The 19,156-nt window shown below is 52.6% G+C and overlaps 1 pseudogene across 3 annotated transcripts; it reads right to left on the reverse strand.

The window, feature by feature from the left end:
* Nucleotides 1–1,589: 1,589 nt before the first annotated feature.
* PRSS40B (serine protease 40B (pseudogene)) lies at nt 1,590–14,948 on the reverse strand (annotated as a pseudogene). 3 transcript variants are annotated; one of them, NR_171645.1, is made up of 5 exons: nt 14,784–14,948; nt 11,213–11,487; nt 8,903–9,078; nt 7,474–7,514; nt 4,115–5,155 (listed from the first exon to the last, which is right to left on the reverse strand). The product of NR_171645.1 is annotated as a serine protease 40B (pseudogene), transcript variant 2 (transcript). The 3 variants fall into 3 exon arrangements; NR_033930.1 differs by lacking the exons at nt 4,115–5,155; nt 7,474–7,514; nt 11,213–11,487 and adding an exon at nt 1,590–3,490 and having other exon boundaries at nt 14,784–14,935; NR_171646.1 differs by lacking the exons at nt 7,474–7,514; nt 11,213–11,487.
* Between the last annotated feature and the right edge of the window lie 4,208 nt (nt 14,949–19,156).

A 19,156-nucleotide genomic window follows, 5' to 3' on the forward strand; every position in this document is an offset into this window, starting at 1 on the left:
TCACTTCTCCAGAACTGTGAGAACTAAATTTCTCTTTTTTTGTTTTGTTTTGTTTTGTTTTTCCTTTTTTCTTTTTTTCTTTTTTTTTTTTTTTTTTGACACAGAGTCTCGCTCTGTCGCCCAGGCTGGAGTGCAGTGGTGCCATCTCGGCTCACTGCAAGCTCCGCCTCCCAGGTTCATGCCATTCTCCTGCCTCAGCCTCCCGAGTAGCTGGGACTATAGGCGCCCACCACCGTGCCTGGCTAATTTTGATATTTTTAGTAGAGATGGGGTTTCACTATGTTGGCCAGGCTGGTCTTGGACTCCTGACCTCGTGATCCACCCGCCTCGGCCTCCCAAAGTGCTGGAATTACAGGCGTGAGCCACCAAGCCCGGCCGTTTCTGTTCTTTACAAGCCATCCAGCCTATGGCATTTTATTATAGCAGCCCAAACAGACTAAGACATTACTTATGTTCCTTTTATCTGTTTCCCAATCTTGTAAATAAATAAAATAAATAAAAATCAATATAACTCGATTTTTCACATTTAAAAAGCAGCATCTTCTGTAACATTTTCATGTTAGAACATGAAACATAGAACTATGTCTTTCTTACCATAGCATAAGTTTTTAAAATTGAAGTTTTGGTGGTTGTGTTTATGGAAAGAAAAATTACCATTAGGGGACAAAGAAAGAGCTCCCGGAAACTCTTCATTTTTAGGAGACAGGGTCTTGCTCTGTCACCCAGGGTGGAGTGCAGTGGTGTGATCATAGCTCACTGCTGCCTCAAACTCCTGGGCTCAAGGGATTCTCCTGCCTCAGGCTCTGGAGAAGCTAGGATTGCAGTCGCACACCACCATGACTGGCTAATTTTTGTATTTTTATTATAGTAAAGACAGGATTTCACCATGTTGGCCAGGCTGGTCTCCAACTCCTGGGCTCAAGTGATCCACCATCAGCTCTCCTTGAGTCTCTAGCCTGCTGGCCTGCCTGCCAACCTCCGTAATCTCATAAGCCAATTCCCTAAGATGAAAAGTCTCACTATACAATATACATACACATCCTATTGGTTCTGTTTCTCTGGAGAACTCCAACACAGCTCCACTCCTGGGCCTTGACTTCTGCTGTTTTTGCAAAGGTCTGCTGAGGTGCAGCCCAATTGTGAGCTCTGAGAAGGCCCTCCCAGCAGAGACCACTGTGCGTCCCAGACATGTGATGACCATTCTCATGGCAGGCTTCCCTCTAGAACATGGCCTAGCAGATCCCCGTTCTCTTTCTACATTTCCAATGTCTTTATGAAGATCTTTTTTTTTCTGAGATGGAGTCTCGCTCTGTCGCCCAGGCTGGAGTGCAGTGGCACGATCTCAGCTCACTGCAGCCTCCGCCTCCCAGGTTCACACCATTCTCCTGCCTCAGCCTTCCGAGTAGCTGGGACTACAGGTGCCCGCCACCACACCTGGCTAATTCTTTGTATTTTTAGTAGAGATGGGGTTTCACTGTGTTAGCCAGGATGGTCTCGATCTCCTGACCTTGTGATCTGCCCACCTTGGCCTCCCAAAGTGCTGGGATTACAGGTGTGAGCCACCACGACTGGCCGAAGATTTTTTTTTAAATAATACAATCAACACTTTTATTGATTTCTGTGTTTGTTTTAAGCAGGAGAGCTGACCCAAGTGACCGAGGCCACCTGCAGCTGCTCTCTCCACTTGCCATGGGAGCCTCAGCCGAAGATGTGGGAATGAAGTAGTCAGGGCATTTGTTTCCATGAAAATCCTCTTTGTGAGGCCGCCTTGGCTGGCTGTGTCCCTCGGCTGAGTGTCCCTGCTCCTCTCAGGCACCCTCTCCCCACGGCTCCTACTTCACTGGTCCCTCAGGGCCTTGGGTGGCAAGAGCTCTGCTTCTGATGCCTGTGCCAGGCCCCTGCCCTGGGCTTTCCCGGAGCCTTCAGCCCAAACATACCTGGGTGATTAGTACTTTTGTAAATAAATGCTCTACAAATTACCCCAACTAAAGTGGACGGGCTCCAAAGTCCACACTGTGACAGCCATACCTTTAAAGTAACGACTGGCTTCCTCTTTCATCTGCATTGACCCTGTTTGCTCAATGTAATGTGGTCTTTAATTCAACGATTACATTTTGCATATGTAATATTTTGACTTGGTTCTTTTCGGTAGTTTCTTTGTCTTAGGTCTTATTACTAATAATATTTTTCTGTATCCAAAAAGATATTTATTGTGCTTATTAAATATGTTTGGTCTGTCTTTTCCAGCAACTCTACTTCCAGTAGTGGATGCTGTGCAGCCTACTGTGTTTCGGTGGGCATTGGACTCTTAAGATAGGCAGCTGCTCCAGTGCACGTGTGTGCATTCCCTGGGCTTAGCAGCTCCTGGTCACCCTGTCTGCACTAGCAAGGCTCCCAGTGAGTCAACGAGGAGGGTGGCCCCAGAGCAGAGGGCCCCAGGCACGAAGCACCTCACTCACTCTCTCCTGCATCCTGCCACCCCACAAGCCACTCCTGCAGGCGGGCCTGCCGGTGAAAGCCCTGGAGGAGATCACAGTGGAAGAGGCCCATTTCCCTGGATAGCAACTGTCCCACCCAGGGGGGGTTCAGGAGGAGGATGGAGGGCACACAACACCGGTGGCTTGTGGGGCCCTCACACTGGCTGACACAGCCACCTTGCAATCCTGACACCTGAGCGGGACCAGGCAGCATTTGTCACGAGGTGTGGGAGGCAAGCAACAAGAGCAGAGTGTGAACAGCCTTCTTAAGTCTGGCTCCTGGCTGCCCCATCCTCCATTCCCAGCTACAGCCGCCCAGGGTAACTTCAGTTTCTCCAAGATTTTCTCACTGATTTTGGTTAGTTTCTGAAATGCACACTGCCTTCTCGCCTCCACAGCTCACCCAGGGTCGATTTTGGAGAGGGAGCCAGTAGCCCGTGCAGCACAACACATGGAGGCCTGGAGCCCCTGACGATGGGTCTAGGGAAAACCACGCAGGGGCCACTCCCAGCCTTTCCGTAGCACCACTCACTGGCCCTGCAGATCTGTTCTGTTCCCTGATGTCAGTATTGTGGCCTGGGGTCCTCCCTTGCCACTGACCAGATAGAATCTGGCCACACTAGAGACAGGCCAGCTAGAGCCTCTCAAGGCAGTCTGGGAAGGTGAGACAGGGCCGGAGGCCTCTGGAAACAGCTGCACTCATGGAAAGCACAAGGCTTCTGAGCTCTCTCTGGAGATGTGGGTTTGAATCCCTGTTCCAGTATTTACTACCAAGTGACCTTAGACAAGTTCCTAACCACGCTGGGCTTCGGGTTCCAGATCTATAAAAAGAGACTGAATGCGGCTTGTGGTCCTGAGGTGGGTTCCAGGCGCAGAAACCTACAGGCGCTGTGCTCCAGCAGGCCTGCGGAGCTCCTAGGTGTGGATTTGCAGCCACAGAATCGGAGGAGGCCAGAGGAACTTCATGGACAGGCAGGCCATTGCGTAACTCCATGCTTCACGTAGGAACATGCCTGCTGATGGACAAAGCACAAGTCACCACGTGAGGGAACTCCAGCCCAGCCAGCATGGGGCCACCATGGGCAGAGGGAAAGTGGCAGTTCTGGCAACAGCGGTGGCTAATGCTCTAAATCTGAACTGATCAAGTGCTAATTCCCACCTCAGGGCCCAGCAGTCCCACTCTGCAGCCCCATAACTGAGTTTGCCATCAGGAGAGGAAATGCTTTCTTCTCGCTTCCAGACACTGCTGAGCTTGTAAAGCCAGATACCGTGCTGGGCATAGGTGTCTGGCTCAGTGGCACCTCACCAGGAAGGAGGGAAGGAAGGCTCTGAGTTGGAAAGGAAACCTCTGCATTAGTGTCAGAGGGCTTCAAGACCAAGAGATTCTGCCGATCATTCCCATGAGACTTCACTTGTTCCCACCTGCTGGTGAGGGCCTGGGCTATCTGGGTGACAACAGGACTAGAAATAATTTGCACAGAACACCTGGATGGCACTTGGGGCACAATGTACCTTCAGTGAAGGGGGGCTGCTCTCTTTTTATTGTGAGTTCAGGTTGGGGGTTGCGGGAGAGCTGCGGTGCGAGGCCCTTCGAGAGTCCTGCTGACTCGTTAGGATACAAACCTGACTCAGACAGGTTTACAGGGGCAACTCAGAGTCTGGTTTATGGGCTCAGTGCTGGACCAGCAAGTCCTGGGTCAGCTAAGCCACAACCCCTACAAGCTGGAGCAAGCCACAGGGATGGGGGCTGGGTTTCTGGAGGCAGGGAGAGGGCAGGGCAGCGGGTACAGGGGGCAGTCAGCTGAGAGCTGGCCCATGGGACACAGCTCTGGTACTGCTGACCGAAGACCTCAGCCCCCTTCACAGTTTACTTGCAAGCTGTCGAGGAGAGCCTCTGTGACCTGCGCACCTGGAAGATGCCGCTTCATCCCTGACCGGTGCACAACACCCAGCTCCAGGAGGACAGGCAGCTTCTTCCATGTGGGGAGGCCCTGGCCCCATTTTTCTGGAAGACTGCATGCCCTGGAGGACCCGAATGGGGCCTGAGTCTGCGCGACCCAACTTCCCAAGGAGAGTGACTTGGCTCCCATATGGTCAGCCTGGACCCTGCCCAGGGAGGAGGGAGACCTTCCCTCCCTGAGGAGCTGGAGACACAGTGGAGCATGGGAGATGGCTCTGGTGGGCCAGAAACCAGAGCAAGAAGCTTCTTGGGTGGTTTTTAGTTTGTCAGGCCTGAGGCAGGGGTGGCCTTGGGTGGACAGGAGAGCTCAGAGATGGAAACACGTCAGGAGTGTGCAGAGCTCAGCAAGGAGGCCGGCCTGAGGTGGGCATGCTTGTGGTAAGAGGCCAGGGGCCCTGGCCCTTCACAGGCTCCCCAGGAGAATCAGCAGCAGGAGGAACATGTGAGCAGCCAGAAGGGCTGCGCAGAGCCCGGGCTTGTGGACGATGCCCTGAGAGGTCATGCTGTCCAGGGCTGGGGGTGTTTCCTGAGGAGGAGCCAAGGCGGGATCTGGAGGGGTGCTCTCCCTCTTCTTCTGGCTGATCCAGTTGGTGAAGTAGGGGAGCCTGGTGAAGACCCTGGGACCGACGGGTGAGCAGCAGTCGAGGCTCCAACTAGACAGCCCCATCAGGAACCAGGTGCCATTTAATGGGCAGACGAGGGGACCCCTGGAGTCTCGCTGAGAACAGAGAGGACATGGGTGGTAGGGACCAAGACAGGGAGGGACACGCATTGTTCAGGGCACAGGAGGGGACCTTACGCTTCTCCAGGATGGAATGTGGGAAGCAAGGTGTGGGGCAGGTGTCTCCACTGTCTGAGTGAGTGGTGCTCATCAGTCACCTGGGCGATGTTAGAAGCCCAGACCCAGGAGGGACCTCCTGGATCAAAATCTCGAGCACGGGGCCCTGGAGCTTCACTCCACAAAGCTCCCAAGGAGACCCTGGGCAGAGCCTCCATCCTGGCAGTCACAAACCCATGAGAATAAGCAGGGGATTCTAGGAGATGGACATCCAGGCCTAGCCCTCCTGACCCCAGTGGGGAGAAGGCACTGCCTGTGGTCCCCAGGGTGGCTGGGTGCCAGCCTGGAGGAATGGCTGTGCCTTGGCCTGAATCTTCCTCCAAGCACTGCATCCCACCAGTATTTTTTTTTTTTTTTTTTTTTTTGAGACAGAGACTCGCTCTGTGCCCAGGCTGGAGTGCAGTGACGCGATCTCAGCTCACTGCAAGCTCCGCTTCCTGGGTTCACCCCATTCTCCTGCCTCAGCCTCCCGAGTAGCTGGGACTACAGGCACCCGCCACCACACCAGCTAATTTTTTGTCTTTTTAGTAGAGACGGGGTTTCACCATGTTAGCCAGGATGGTTTCGATCTCCTGACCTCGTGATCCACCCGCCTCGGCCTCCCAAAGTGCTGGGATTACAGGCATGAGCCACCGCGCCCGGCCATTTTTGTTCTTTTTTAAACTTTTTTTAAAAAATTAAAATGGAGATGGAGATCTTGCCATGTTACCAGCAGATCTTGAACTGATGGTATCAAGTGATCTTCCCGCCTTGGCCTCCAAGGTGCTGGGATTAAATCTAGTCCCGAATCCAGATGTCCTTCACTTATTAAGGTCTCTAGTGTTCCCTCCATTTCTTGGTTGAGCTTTTTAGAAAATGCCAGGCTGTGGGATGTGCTGAGGGGAAAAGAGGTGCTGCCCGTGCCCAGCGTGGGGGTAGGGCAAGTGCCAGGGGTTCCCAGGTGAGCGCGGGGGATTGTGAGTGTGGCAGGGCCCCCAAGCGGGGAAGTCCCTGACATCATGGGCAGAGCACCCGCATCCCATAGGCCAAAAAGGGAAACCCAAGGAAACAAGCATCCTCCTGCCATCTGTGCAATCAACATGACCAAGTCTTTCTGTGTGCACACAGCACTGAAGAGGCCCCGAGGGACCTTCCACATGAACAGACATCGCAGACGGGGGGTGTGGATCGGGGCGGCCTGGAAGGACCCCAGAAGGGCTGCTCTAATTCTAGAGCTTCTCTGAGCCAACACAGGAAGGAGGGGCAAGACCTGACTGTGCCAGCCCACAGCCTCCTCAGAGGGCAGGGAACCCATGGGACCTGGTGCAGATTCTGTCTGATAGGATGGTACTGGCCTGAGCCCCATCAGGACACAACTGCAGGAGAAGGGATGGCAGAGGCTGGCGGGAAATGGTCAACAGACGGGACTTGCCATATCTGACCCTTTCTCTCTGTCTAAGGAAATGGGGCAAGGCAGGGGAAGCAGGCCCAGTGGTGCACAGTGGGCTGTTGGTGTCAGGAGGCTGAAGGGCCCCTCCAAGGAGGAGAGCAGAGAGCAGGAGGGGCCGCCCACAGTGTCTGATGGGGGATGCTGCACCAACGCCTGACAGCATGGCTGTGGTGAGGACGGAGCCCAGGAAGCAAGAGAGGGCACAGGCAGGCACCCTGGGGTGAGCCCTGCTGGGATGGGTGGGGTGGGAGGAGGTTGTGGGGAGCAGGGAGGGTGCCTGTAGGGCATTTTGTGATGAGAGTCATCGAAGAATGTTTCTGCACCATGAGGTGACCAAAGAGAGAGAAAGAAAAAGAGGGAGGCGCAACAGAGGGAGAGGAGGCCGGGCACGGTGTCTCACACCTGTAATCCCAGCACTTTTGGGATGCTGAGGCAGGCAGATCACTTGAGGTCAGGAGTTTGAGACCAGCCCAGCTAACATGATGAAACCCCATCTCTACTAAAAATATAAAAATTAGCTGGGCGTGGTAGTGCATCCCAGTTACTCAGGAAGCTGAGGCAGGAGAATCACTTGAACCCAGGAGGCAGAGGTTGCAGTGAGCCGAGATTGCACTACAGCACTCTAGCATGGGCGATAAAGTAAGGCCCTGTATCAAAAAAAAAAAAAAAAAAAAAAGAGGGAGAGGATCCTGCAGGAGTCCTCCTGGGACCCACAGCTCCCAAGAAGGGCAGGGCCTCTCCAAGCTTGACTGTGGCTGTGACCCCTCACCTTGGGTGATACACTTCCTCTCTGGGCCTCAGTTCCCCGCACTATAAAATGAAAAGATTACACATAGTGGGATAAGACATTCATAATATATGAACATATCCAATAATGGGCTCATAGCCACAATAGATAAAGAACTCCTATGATTCAGAATGAAAGGCAGACAATCCCATAGTTGGCAAAAAACTTGCACGGACACTTTACAAAAGAGGCAATAAACATATAACAAAGGGCTTATCTTCACCAGTCACCAGAGAAATGCACATTAAAAACCATACACAAGAGTTCATATGAAAATGGCAGACAATTTGAAGGACTGGCAACAACAGGGTGCAACCTGAACTATCACTCACCAGCTGGTGGAAATGCAAATTGGTACAACCAGGTTGCAGAGTTTCTCAGATGATCAACGAGAGATGAACATGTGCATGTCTCATGGCAAGGCAATTCCATTGCCAGGGGGACCGCCAACCAGAATGGGAACCTATGTGCTCTGAAATGCATACACCAGGAAGTTCACAGCAATTCCATTTGCAACAGCCTCAGATGGGAACCACCCAAATGCCACCCACACTAGAATGGATGAGTAAATTGCAGTGTCTTTGCACAGTGGAATAGCATACGGCAATAAAAATGAACAATACAGACTGCACGCCAGATGGATGCATCCCACAGACACAACATTGACTGATGGGACCAGGCAAAAGCTTGCATACCATATGGCTTCACTCAGCTAAAAGTCCCCACATGAAGCTATGGTGCTTTAGAAAGCAGGCAGAGTTATCCTGGGGGAGTTAGCGTCAGGAATGGGCAAGGATGAAACCCACGGGTGCCGGGTACATGAGTGGTCAGTCTCTGAAAATTCCTCCACAGGACACTTGTACTTTTGCCCTTTCCTGTGCATGGTGTGCTTCAATAAGGTTTCTTTTTCCTTTCTTTCTTTTTTTCTTCTTTTTTTTTTTTTTTGAGACGGAGTCTCACTCTGTCACCCAGGCTGGAGTGCGGTGGCATGATCTCAGCTCACTGCAACTGCCGCCTCCCGGGTTCAAGCGATTCTCCTGCCTCAGCCTCCCAAGTAGCTGGGATTATAGGCACGTGCCACCATGCCCGGCTGATTTTTGTATTTTTAGTAGAGATGGGGTTTCACCATGTTGGTCAGGCTGGTCTCAAACTCCTGACCTCAGGTGATCCACCCGCCTCGACCTCCCAAAGCGCTGGGATTACAGACGTGAGCCACTGTACCCTACCAACAACGTTTCTTAAAAGATACAAAAAAACAGATGGGCCAGTGCTTGTTGGGAGTTTCTGTCCTGGCTCCGACACCTCAGGCTTGGCTGGGCTCAGGAAGAAGTCGGGGCTGGGGCAGGGTCCAGAGGAGACCCTGTGGCAGAGGCCCAGGGCAGCACAGGGGAGAGAGAGTGAGCCCACTCACTCGGCAAATGGCCTTTCCTGTTATGAGGTCCCCAGCGCACAGCATGTCCTCGTGGATGGTGTAGTCACTGCTGCTTGGCTGGCCGGGGTACTGGGGCTGGAAAAAGGATCCGCAGACAGTGTTGTCCATGACACCGACCTCTGCCTCCTGAAGTTGGAAGGGCTCAGGCAGGAAGACTGTGGGAGGAGATGTCAGATGTGGGAGGAGATGTCAGATGTGGGAGGAGGTGTCAGATGTGGGCCTCAACTGCAGCTGCAGCCAGAGGGAAGCCCTCCCTCCCCAGCCTGCTGGCCCAGGGAGAGCACACGAAGATAAGGGGACAGCCAAAGGGGGAGGGCCTGCAGTAGGAAGAACCAGGAGGGAGGCCAATGTGGCTGCAAGGGAGCAGGCGTGGGGTGAAAGGTGAGGTGCAGCCGCCTCAGGGCCCAGAGCAGGGGCCCTCCTAGCCAGGATGTGGTGTTGGAGGTGTCGTTCCAAGCACACTGGGACACAATAGAAGGGTCAAAAACAAGCCCTCTGGCTGCTAAGAGGAGGCAGAGCTGGAGGCAGGGAGGGTGGCAGCTGGATTGCCAGCCTGGCCGGTGGCATACCTAGCAGGTGCTGGGTGGGTTTGAGCAGTGTAGCAGTGTGACAAATCAGGCATGGCCCTTCCTCAAGGAGCAACTGGTCTGGGGACACTTGGGCTCTGTTTCCAGATGTCGCTCCCAGATCTGGCCTGGGGTCCCCATGTGGGAGCAGCGCGATGACAGGGGCCGACCCCTGCACAATGCCTGCCCTGTGTGGGCCTCATGTGTCCTTGGGGGCTGCCGGTGTGTGGAGAGAGAAGGATGACTAGAGCCCAGATCTCTCATCAAGGTCGGTGGCTCTCTGCTCAGTAGCTGATCCAACTAACTGGTGACTTCCCCAGGCCCTAGCTCCTCCTTTCCCACCTGGAGAATCTTCTCTGCCTTGATTCTTAGAGAATGACAGTCCCTTGGAGGCCGAGGAGGGCAGATCACCTGCGGTCGGGAATTCGAAACCAGCCTGACCAACATGGAGCAACCCGTCTCTACTAAAAATACAAAATTAGCCAGGTGTGGTGGTGCATGCCTGTCATCCTAGCTACTCAGGAGGATGAGGCAGAAGAATCGCTTGAACCCGGGAGGTGGGGGTTGTGGTGAGCCGATATCATGCCATCCCACTCCAGCCTGGACAACAAGAGCAAGACTCCGTCTCAAAAAAAAAAAAAAAAATAGTTTGAGAATGACAGTCCCAGGAGGCTGTCTTTGGAGGGCTGGCTGCTCTCATGACTAGGGCCACGTGACTGGCATTCAGTGGCCAAGGCAGGGAGGCCAGCTCTGGCCTGTTCATGGAAGAAAGTCCTGTCCCAAATGCCTCCTCTGAGATATTCTGCCAGATCATGACCCCACAAATAATGCCAAATTGCCATTCTACTTTTTTGCACTCATCATTACATTTCCCTAAATCAAAAGCATTCACTCTTTTGCTAGAGTCTTTGCCTAACATTTCTTCCCTCTCAGTCTACAAATATACAAATATATGACAAATATACTGGGTGAGCAGTGAGGTTCACATTCACAGAGATAAGTGTTCTTGAGCCATAAACACTTGGACTGGAGGACAGGCCTGCTCTTTTTTTTCTTGAGACAGAGTCTCACTCTGTTGCCAGGCTGGAGTGCAGTGGTGCGATCTCGGCTCACTGCAACCTCCGCCTCCCAGGTTCAAGCGATTCTCCTGTCTCAGCCTCCTGAGTAGCTGGGATTACAGGCACGTGCCACCATGCCCAGTTAATTTCTGTGTGTGTGTGTGTGTGTGTGTGTGTGTGTGTGTGTGTGTGTGTGTATAAAATATATATATATATATATATTTTTTTTTCTTTTTTTAGTAGAGATGTGGTTTCACCATGTTGGCCAGGATGGTCTCGATCTTCTGACCTCGTGATCCACCCACCTCAGGCTCCCAAAGTGCTGGGATTACAGGCGTGAGCCACCGCACCCGCAGGCCTGCTCTTACTTGCTACTGATGCCCGGCACCTTCCACAGCTGTGGAAGCTCCAGTAGAGTTTGGTGAGGCCCTGGAGGAGGTCAGATGGCAGCAGGCCCTTGTAATCAGGGTGGAGTCAGAAACATTCAGAACCAGGGAATCCTGAATGGCTCAGAGTCAAAGAGCCCAAGTACCTGCCTCCAAAAGTGGGAGAAGCTCAGGCCGCTTGACCCATGCCAGGGGGAATTGTGACACTAGGGAGGACTGGCAGAGCCCCGAAGCGGCCTCCCGCACCTTCACCTGCATTGCCTGCCCTGCACTGCTCACCATCCTCGGTGACCATTCCCCAACCAGATATCCAGCAGGAGCTGTCAGGGGCCAGCCACGTGGTTGGTTCCGGAAGGCAGGCGGGGAGGATGTGGGAGCTGAATTCCACATGATGGTGCAGCTGCAGCAGGGTGATGTCACTCCCCATGCGGTGCAACTCGTTATAGTCAGCGTGCACCATGATCTTATTCACTGTCATCTGCTTGCTGTGCTCTGTGGGATGGCTTTGCTGGTCATACCCAAGCAGGATCCGGTAATCAGATGGGTTAGTGGACCTGTTGTGGGGAGGCTCCTCTGAATGCTGGGCCGGCACCCTCACCCCGGCTGCCCACCTGGAAGGCACCCAGACCCCACCATCACTCTGGGGTTTCTGTCTCCTCCCTTCCTCGTGTCAGATAGCCCTGCTTTGCTCTTGACACAAGCTTGAGGGCCTACAGCCTCAGGACACTTGGCCTTGGATGATTCCTGATGGCTTTCCCAGCATGCCCCAGACTCAAAGGAGTAGAGAATCTTAGTGCAGAAAACACTGGCGATGCATTACACTTCACCCCTTCATTTCAGAAAAGAAGAGACTTGGCTCATTCCTAGCTCTGACCAGAACCTTCCCAAGGCCCCATGACCTACAGCAATTCTCAAAGACCCTGTTTCCCTAGCCAGCATGCTCCACCCACTTCTCCCCGGTTCTCACACACCACCTTCTCCAAGGCTGCCCCACCTGGTGACAGGAACTCAGTAGGTATTTGTGAAGCACATGGAGGAGTTAATGGAACTGAACTTCTTGTTTCCAGAAAACGAGTGACTTTCCAACCCACAGGTCCTGGCTGTGTGGTTCTCCTCCCCCAACATGGCTGCATCCACCTCCCCCAAGGCCTCTCCTGCTCTAAGCCCCTGTCTGGCACAGGGTCTACCATGGTCCTGGGCTTGCGCCTCACTTTCCTGACAGGATGAGAAGCCTCAGAGTGGGGCTTGCATCTCTATGTACCACACAATGGGCCTCACTTGAGGCCTGGCACCTGTGGATGCTGAATAAATGAGTGGGACCTGAGGAGGATGCTACAGCCAGCTATGTCCAAAGCTCTGGCTTCCTGGCTCAGAATTGGACATCCTCCCTGACTCCCTTTGGGCACACAGCGAGCCCAGGAAGCATCGGAGGAGTAACTCAGTCTCTTGACCCTCTGCCTCACACCTCCTGGGACAGAGGCCATCTGTTTCATCCCTCACTCTGGTCTGTGGGGACGGTGGCAAATAATTCTCCAGAAGTGACAAAAACCCCCTGGTGGCTGGACATACAGAGTCGCAGGACCCTTCTGGGGAAGAATGTGCCAGCATATGTGGGTAGCCAGGACCTAGGGGAGCCTCCGGCAGGTGTTCCCCGGACAGCCTGCAATGAGCCCTGGTTGGAAGGGGCCAGGTGCTCGACCATGCCTGCCTGGCCCTGAGAAGCCCTGGGACTGTCACTCTGTCTTATCACCTGAAGTGTGTGTCAAGTGTGTGGCCTGGGACACTGCACACCCACTACCATTTACACAAGAAAAACCGAGGCCCACTGAGATTGTGTGGATGGCCTAGAGCTGGGCAAGATGCAGAAACCAAAGTTCACCCTGAGGGGAACATTAGGATTTTGATTCCTAAAGTTTACAGCAGACGGAGAATGGGCTGGAAGTGGTTCCCTTTAGAACAAAAGTCTGTTTTCCTGTATTTATTGACAGTCCCAACTAGAGTGAGTTAATTTTCATTTAGCTATTTATTTTATTTTATTTTTGAGACAAGATCTGGCTTTGTGGCCCAGGCTGGAGTGCAGTGGCACAACCACATTTCACTGCAGCCTCGACCTCCCTGGGCTCAGGTGATCCTCCTGCCTCAGCCTCCTCAGTAGCAGGGACCACAGGCCTGCCCCATCGTACTTGGCTAATTTTTTTATTTTTAGTAGAGATGGGTTTTGCCATGTTGCCCAGGCTGGTCTTGAACTCTTGGGCTCAAGCAATCCACCTGCCTTGGCCTCCTAAAGTGCTGGGATTACAGGTGTGAGCCACCGTGACAGGCCTTAACTATTTATTTTTACTTTTAATTATTTACTTATTTTCAGACAGGTCTCATTCTGTCACCCAGGGTGGAGTGCAATGGTGTGATCACAGTCACTTGCAGCCTTGACCTCCCAGGCTCAAGTGATCCTCCCAAGTAGCTGGGACTACAGGCGCACACCACCAGGCCCGGCTAATTTTTGTACTTTTTGTAGAGATGAGGTGTCACTATGTTGCCCAGGCTGGTCTGGAATTCCTGGACTCATACAATCCTCCCACCTTAGCCTCCCAAGTACTAGGATTACAGGTGTGAGCCATCACACCCGGCTCCATTTAGCTATTTCAAAGTAATGTGCAATGTAATGAGGCAACCACACCATCTTAGCAGGCTGACCAATGTGGTGTGGGGTGGGGTGGGGTTGGGGAATGCCCAACCCCAGAGTGAGAGATGAGGTAGGAGCCTCTGCTTGGGAGATGCCACACAGTTGGTCAGGAGACTGGAGCAGAGTGACGAGCAGGGACAGCATTCCAGGCACAGGGCACTGCTGGGTCAAAGGCAGGACACCTGGGGCAGCAAACTGTCCCAGAACAAAGCGTACAAAGAAAAGACTGCGCCCTCACTTTGGGCTTCCCTCTTGCATGCACTCCCACAGCGGGGCCCGTGGAGGGAAGATGCATCTTTGGAAGCAGTGAGCAGCAGAGGCCACCCAGTTGCTGTCGATGAGGGCAGCTCCACAGATGTGCCCGCCTAGGTAGAGGAGACTGGCCTGCCATGGCCACCGCTAAGGCTCAGCCCTCTGGCCTCCAAAGATCTTCCCGGTGGGCCTCCCGGAGGAATTGCCGCTGAATCTGGCCTTCTCACACACTGTGGAGACAGCCCAGCAATGAGGTGCCTGCACGAAGGACGCCAGCCAGCCCCGGGTGCCCCCAAATATCAGGATCAACAGGACTCGGGGCCACCAGGCCCCTCCTCTCACTTCACAGGAGGGACAAGTCCAAGGCTCAGGTTGAAGCCACGTGGCCCATGTGACAGCACCACCTGGATGACCCGGGAGCACACAGCCCATGGCCCCCTGTCAGGGGCGACGGCCCGTGGGGCTACGGGGTGAGCACTGGGCCCGACTTTTCCCAGGCCTCAATGCCGTTTGTGATGGCGCAGAAGCTGCCTGCTACAGAAGGGATGTACTGCTCCACTGCGCGGCCCCTAAGCGGCAGTGCCCTCCCTTCCCGGCCCAGTGTTCTCCCAGACTGAAGCGAACGAGAGACAGTCCGCGCACAATCCCGTCTGCAGTAGCATTTCCCCATCCTGGAAATGAGGGTGTGTGGGGCGCTGGACTGTAGAGGCCTGAGATCCAACCCGGCAGAGCCAGCGGGGGAGCGCCCCGCCCTCTCCCCTCCTTCCAAAGGCGCCTTCCTCCCAGGGCCCGGAGAGCCAGACCTGGCCTGGCTGGGCCCTCCTGGCGGGTGTCCTCATCGGGCGGAGGGGGACGGCCACGAGAGGCAGGCGACCTCTGCTCCTCGCTCTGTCTGGGCCACCCCTGCCCGCTCACCTGCAGAGAGGGACGAGGTGGACTAGACGCGCAGCGGCAGGAGGATTGGCCAGAGGAGGGAGGCGGCCAGTGCGCAGTGCCCCCGCCGGCCCTGGCCTGAGCGCTCTGCCCCTGCTTCCCTCATCAGGCCGGTGGCCTGGGCGTCCCCGACGGGGCGGAGAGCGCGGGGCGTGGCCAACCGCGGGGCTCCAGGAAAACGCCTGCGTCCATCAGGATGCTGGGACTGGATCTCGCGCGGCGGGTGCGGGGAGCCCAGGTCGGTAGGAGGCAGGGGTCGCTGGAAACCCCCAGAGCATCACAGGGCCCCTCCCTCCAGGAAGTCCACTGTGCAGGGGAGACATGAAGGCAACTATGGCCCAAGCCCAGAAATATACAGTAATGATGAGAGGGCAAGTGCTTACATCACGTCATCAAGCATTTCCAGCTTGCTTTCCGAGTTCAACCCACTCCTCCATAAGGACGCCGGCTCAAGGGATTAGGTCAGGCCCACTAGGGACAATACAATATCCTTTTCTTAAACTCCAGCATACAACAGTCACGAGAGGGCTGTGCCATCTCAGTCACAGGTCCCTCCACACTCAACAGGAGGGTCATAGACAACAGCTGAGTGGCAGCGAGTCATCTTAGAATTCTACCTAACACAGCCCAACCTCCGGCCTCCAGTGACGCATGTCCCTCCCAATCCCCAAAATGCATTCAGCATACCTCAAGGTTACCAAGAGCCTCATCCTGTTACTGGAAAGGGGCCGATTCAGACATCAAGACAGGATTCTTGGATCTTGCAGAAGAAAGAGTTCGGGCGGGTCCATAAAGTGAAAGCAAGTTTATTAAGAAAGTAAAAGAATAAAAGAATGGCTACCCCATAGGCAGAGCAGTCCTGAGGGCTGCTGGTTGCCCATTTTTATGGTTATTTCTTGATTATATGCTAAACAAGGGGTGGATTATTCATGGGTTTTCAGGGAAAGGGATGGACAATTAACAGAACTGAGAGTTCCTCCCCCTTTTAGACCATGTAAGGTAACTTCCTGACCTTGCCGTGAACTGTCATGGCACTGGTGGGAGTGTCTCTTAGCATGCTAATGTATTATAACTAGTATATAATGAGCATTGAGGACCACCAGAAGTCACTCTCGTTGCCATCTTGGTTTTGGTGGGTTTTGGCCGGCTTCTTTACCCCAACCTATTTTATCAACAAGATTTTTATGACTTGTATCTTTTGCCTACCTCCTATCTCATCCTGTGACTTAGAATACCTAACCTCCTGGGGGCTGGCCACGGTGACTCACACCTGCAATCCCAGCACTTTGGGAGGCCGAGGCGGGCGGATCACCTGAGGTCAGGAGCTCGAGACCAGCCTGGCCAACATGGTGAAACCCCGTCTCTACTTAAAATACAAAAATTAGCCAGGCATGGTGGCGGGTGCCTGTAAGTCCCAGCTACTGGGGAGGCTGAGGCAGGAGAATAGCTTGGACCTGGGAGGCGGAGGCTGCGGTGAGCCGAGATCACACCACTGCACTCCAGCCTGGGTGACAGAGCTAGACTTTGTCTAAAAAAAAAAAAAAAAGGCCAGGCGCGGTGGCTCACGCCTGTAATCCCAGCACTTTGGGAGGCGGAGGCAGGCAGATCACAAAGTCAGTAGATTGAGACCATCCTAGCTAACACGGTGAAACCCCGTCTCTACTAAAAAATACAAAAAAATTAGCTGGGGGTGGTGGTGGGTGCCTGTAGTCCCAGCTACTTAGGAGACTGAGGCAGGAGAATGATGTGAACCCGGGAGGCGGAGCTTGCAGTGAGCCAAGACTGCGCCACTGCACTCCAGCCTGGGCAACAGAGCGGTGAGACTCCATCTCAAAAAAAAAAAAAAAAAAAAAAAAAAAATGCTTAACCTCCTGGGAATGCAGCCCAGTAGGTCTCAACCTCATTTTACCGGCCCCTATTCAAGATGGAATTGCTCTGGTTCGAACGCTTCTGGCAATCTCATTAGAGTCTCAACTTAAAATTCAAAATCTCATCATCTAAATCTAAATAGAATTATCTCATCAGCTCAAAATCCACAATCTCATCATTTAAATACTCCAAATAGAATATGGATGAGGTTCCCAGCTGTAATCTGCTAAACACAGCCCTTGAGTACAATTCTTCCTCACCTGTGGACCTATGAAATTAAAGAAACTTCCTACCCCAACATTCTGCACATACAATGACAAGATGGGCACAGCATAATGCTCAAAAGGAAGTTGGGGGAATGGACAGTGAAAAGCAGTTACTGGTCCGTAACAGCTTTTATATCCTTCTGGACAAACTCCATTAGGTTTCAAGGCCTGGGAGAAAATTCTCTGTGGCTCTCAGCTCTGGTCATCCTTCCTTTTTTATACAAAGTAGCACGTTTGCATCCAAGTAGTTCTATTGCCTTGCTTCCCGCAAGTGGAATTCTGGGGGCCTTCTTTCATGGTGTACTTTCCCTGTCCCTGTCAGTATGAGCTGGGAATGTTCTGCTGACATAAACATCTCAAGAACCTCATAGTCCTTGTAAGTGTGTTTCACCAGTTTCACTTCATTAGATAAAGTCACATGCACAATATTTTTGAGATAGTCCCTCCTCCACCTGGGCCTCCTGCTGAGATGGCAGCGGGCTTGGGGCCCTCTGTTGTGACTATACCTCAATGTCTTGAAAGGGCCCTTTGATCGACTGACTTTTCTGACCTCTTGGTCTTTCTGGGGTCTTAGCAGAACATTATAGTGTCGACCTTTTCTCTGTGCTGTGGTTTCAGTGACCATCTCTGACTTTTAGCATCTTTTGACATCTGGAGAGGCTAAGAATTTTCAAAACCCTCCAGTCCTGGTTCCTTTTGGTTTAGCAGTTCTTGCCTCAGTTTATCTCTCTTCCTTCACATTTTGCTATAAGTAGCAAGATGAAACCAGGTAGCACCTCAAAGCGTTGCTTAGAAATCTCCTAAGCCACATGAAACTGCCTTTGCAAAATTATAACTGTAAGAGAAATCTGACATAGTTGACTCCATCTTGCTTCTGACCTCCAAGCTGTCCTTGGTCATTCCTGGGGCTAAGCCAAGCTAACTTTGAGAAGAATTTAGTTTATAGTTTAATTTGAAAGCAAGGATAATAATAGCTCCTCCCGAAAACTAATCCCTTCCTTGCTCAGGGACTGAAAACCACCTTTGGTAAGACTAACGAAAGGCCACAAGAATAGGATTATGGGAGGGGACTAAATTCTGATAAGGTAGGCATAGTTTCTATAATCCCTTACAGCTCAGGAGTCAGATGGCCAGAGGTCACAAGATTTGTGACTCTTCCAATTGCTCCTGTAGATAATGTCACTATTGTAGAACCTAAGATCGTTTTTTTTTTTTTAGATTTTTCAGACTGACCCCACCTAGACTTGTGACTCATGACTCAAATGGCCCTGTGACCCCACCCAGAGGTGGACTCAGTGCACGGGAACCATTTTCCACACCTCTATAATTTCATCCCCAACCAATCAGCTGCACTTATTCCCTAACCCCCTGTCCATCAATTGTCCATAAAATCCCCTGGCTTCTGAGCCTTCAGGGAGACCAATTTGAGTGAGAATGCCAGTTCTCCTGTGTGAGCTGGGCTTGGTCAATGAAAGTCTTTCTCTACTGCAACAGCACAGTCTCAGTAGATTGATTTTGTCTGTGCAGCAGGCAGGAAGAACCTGTCTGGTGATATGTGATTACACATATGTGCAAACAGGCCCCTGAAAGTTTGCTCCCTACACAGCAGCTGGACACAATTTCTGCTGTGACGCCACCAGGACCTACCCCGTTTCCAGTGGCATACCCCCCACCTGGTGAGCTCTCAACCATGGAAGCCTTAAATTCTAGATTTCTATGCACAGTCTATCCGAGGAAATAGAGGCTTTCCCTAAGGTAGTTTAAGTTTTTTAAATGAGGTTCCTCAAAATATTTCCAGGCCCCATCCACTGCCCAGTTCCAAAACTACCGGCATATTTTTAAATGTTTCTTACAGCAGCACCTCATTCCTGGAACCAAAATTCCTATTAGTGTTCTGTTGCCGTGCAACAAATTGCCACAAACCTCGTGGCTTAAAACAACACAAATATATGACCATGCCATGCCCATGGGTGAGGAGTCTGGCATGGCCCAACTTGGTTCTCTGCTGAAGGTCTCATGCTCAAGGTGTCGACTGGCCACAAGTTCTCTGAAGGCTCTGCAGAAGAATTTGCCTTCCAGCCCATTTAGGTTGTTGGCAAAATTCCGTTTCTTGCAGTTGAATGACTGAGGCACTCATTTGCTTGTTGGGAGCCACTGTCGACTCCTGTAGGCCACTTGGCTGCTTCCCACAGGCCCTCTCACAATACCGCAGCTTTCTCC

Source organism: Homo sapiens, chromosome 2 (genome assembly GCF_000001405.40).
Source record: "Homo sapiens chromosome 2, GRCh38.p14 Primary Assembly".
In the NCBI taxonomy this organism is placed as follows: Eukaryota; Metazoa; Chordata; class Mammalia; order Primates; family Hominidae; genus Homo; species Homo sapiens.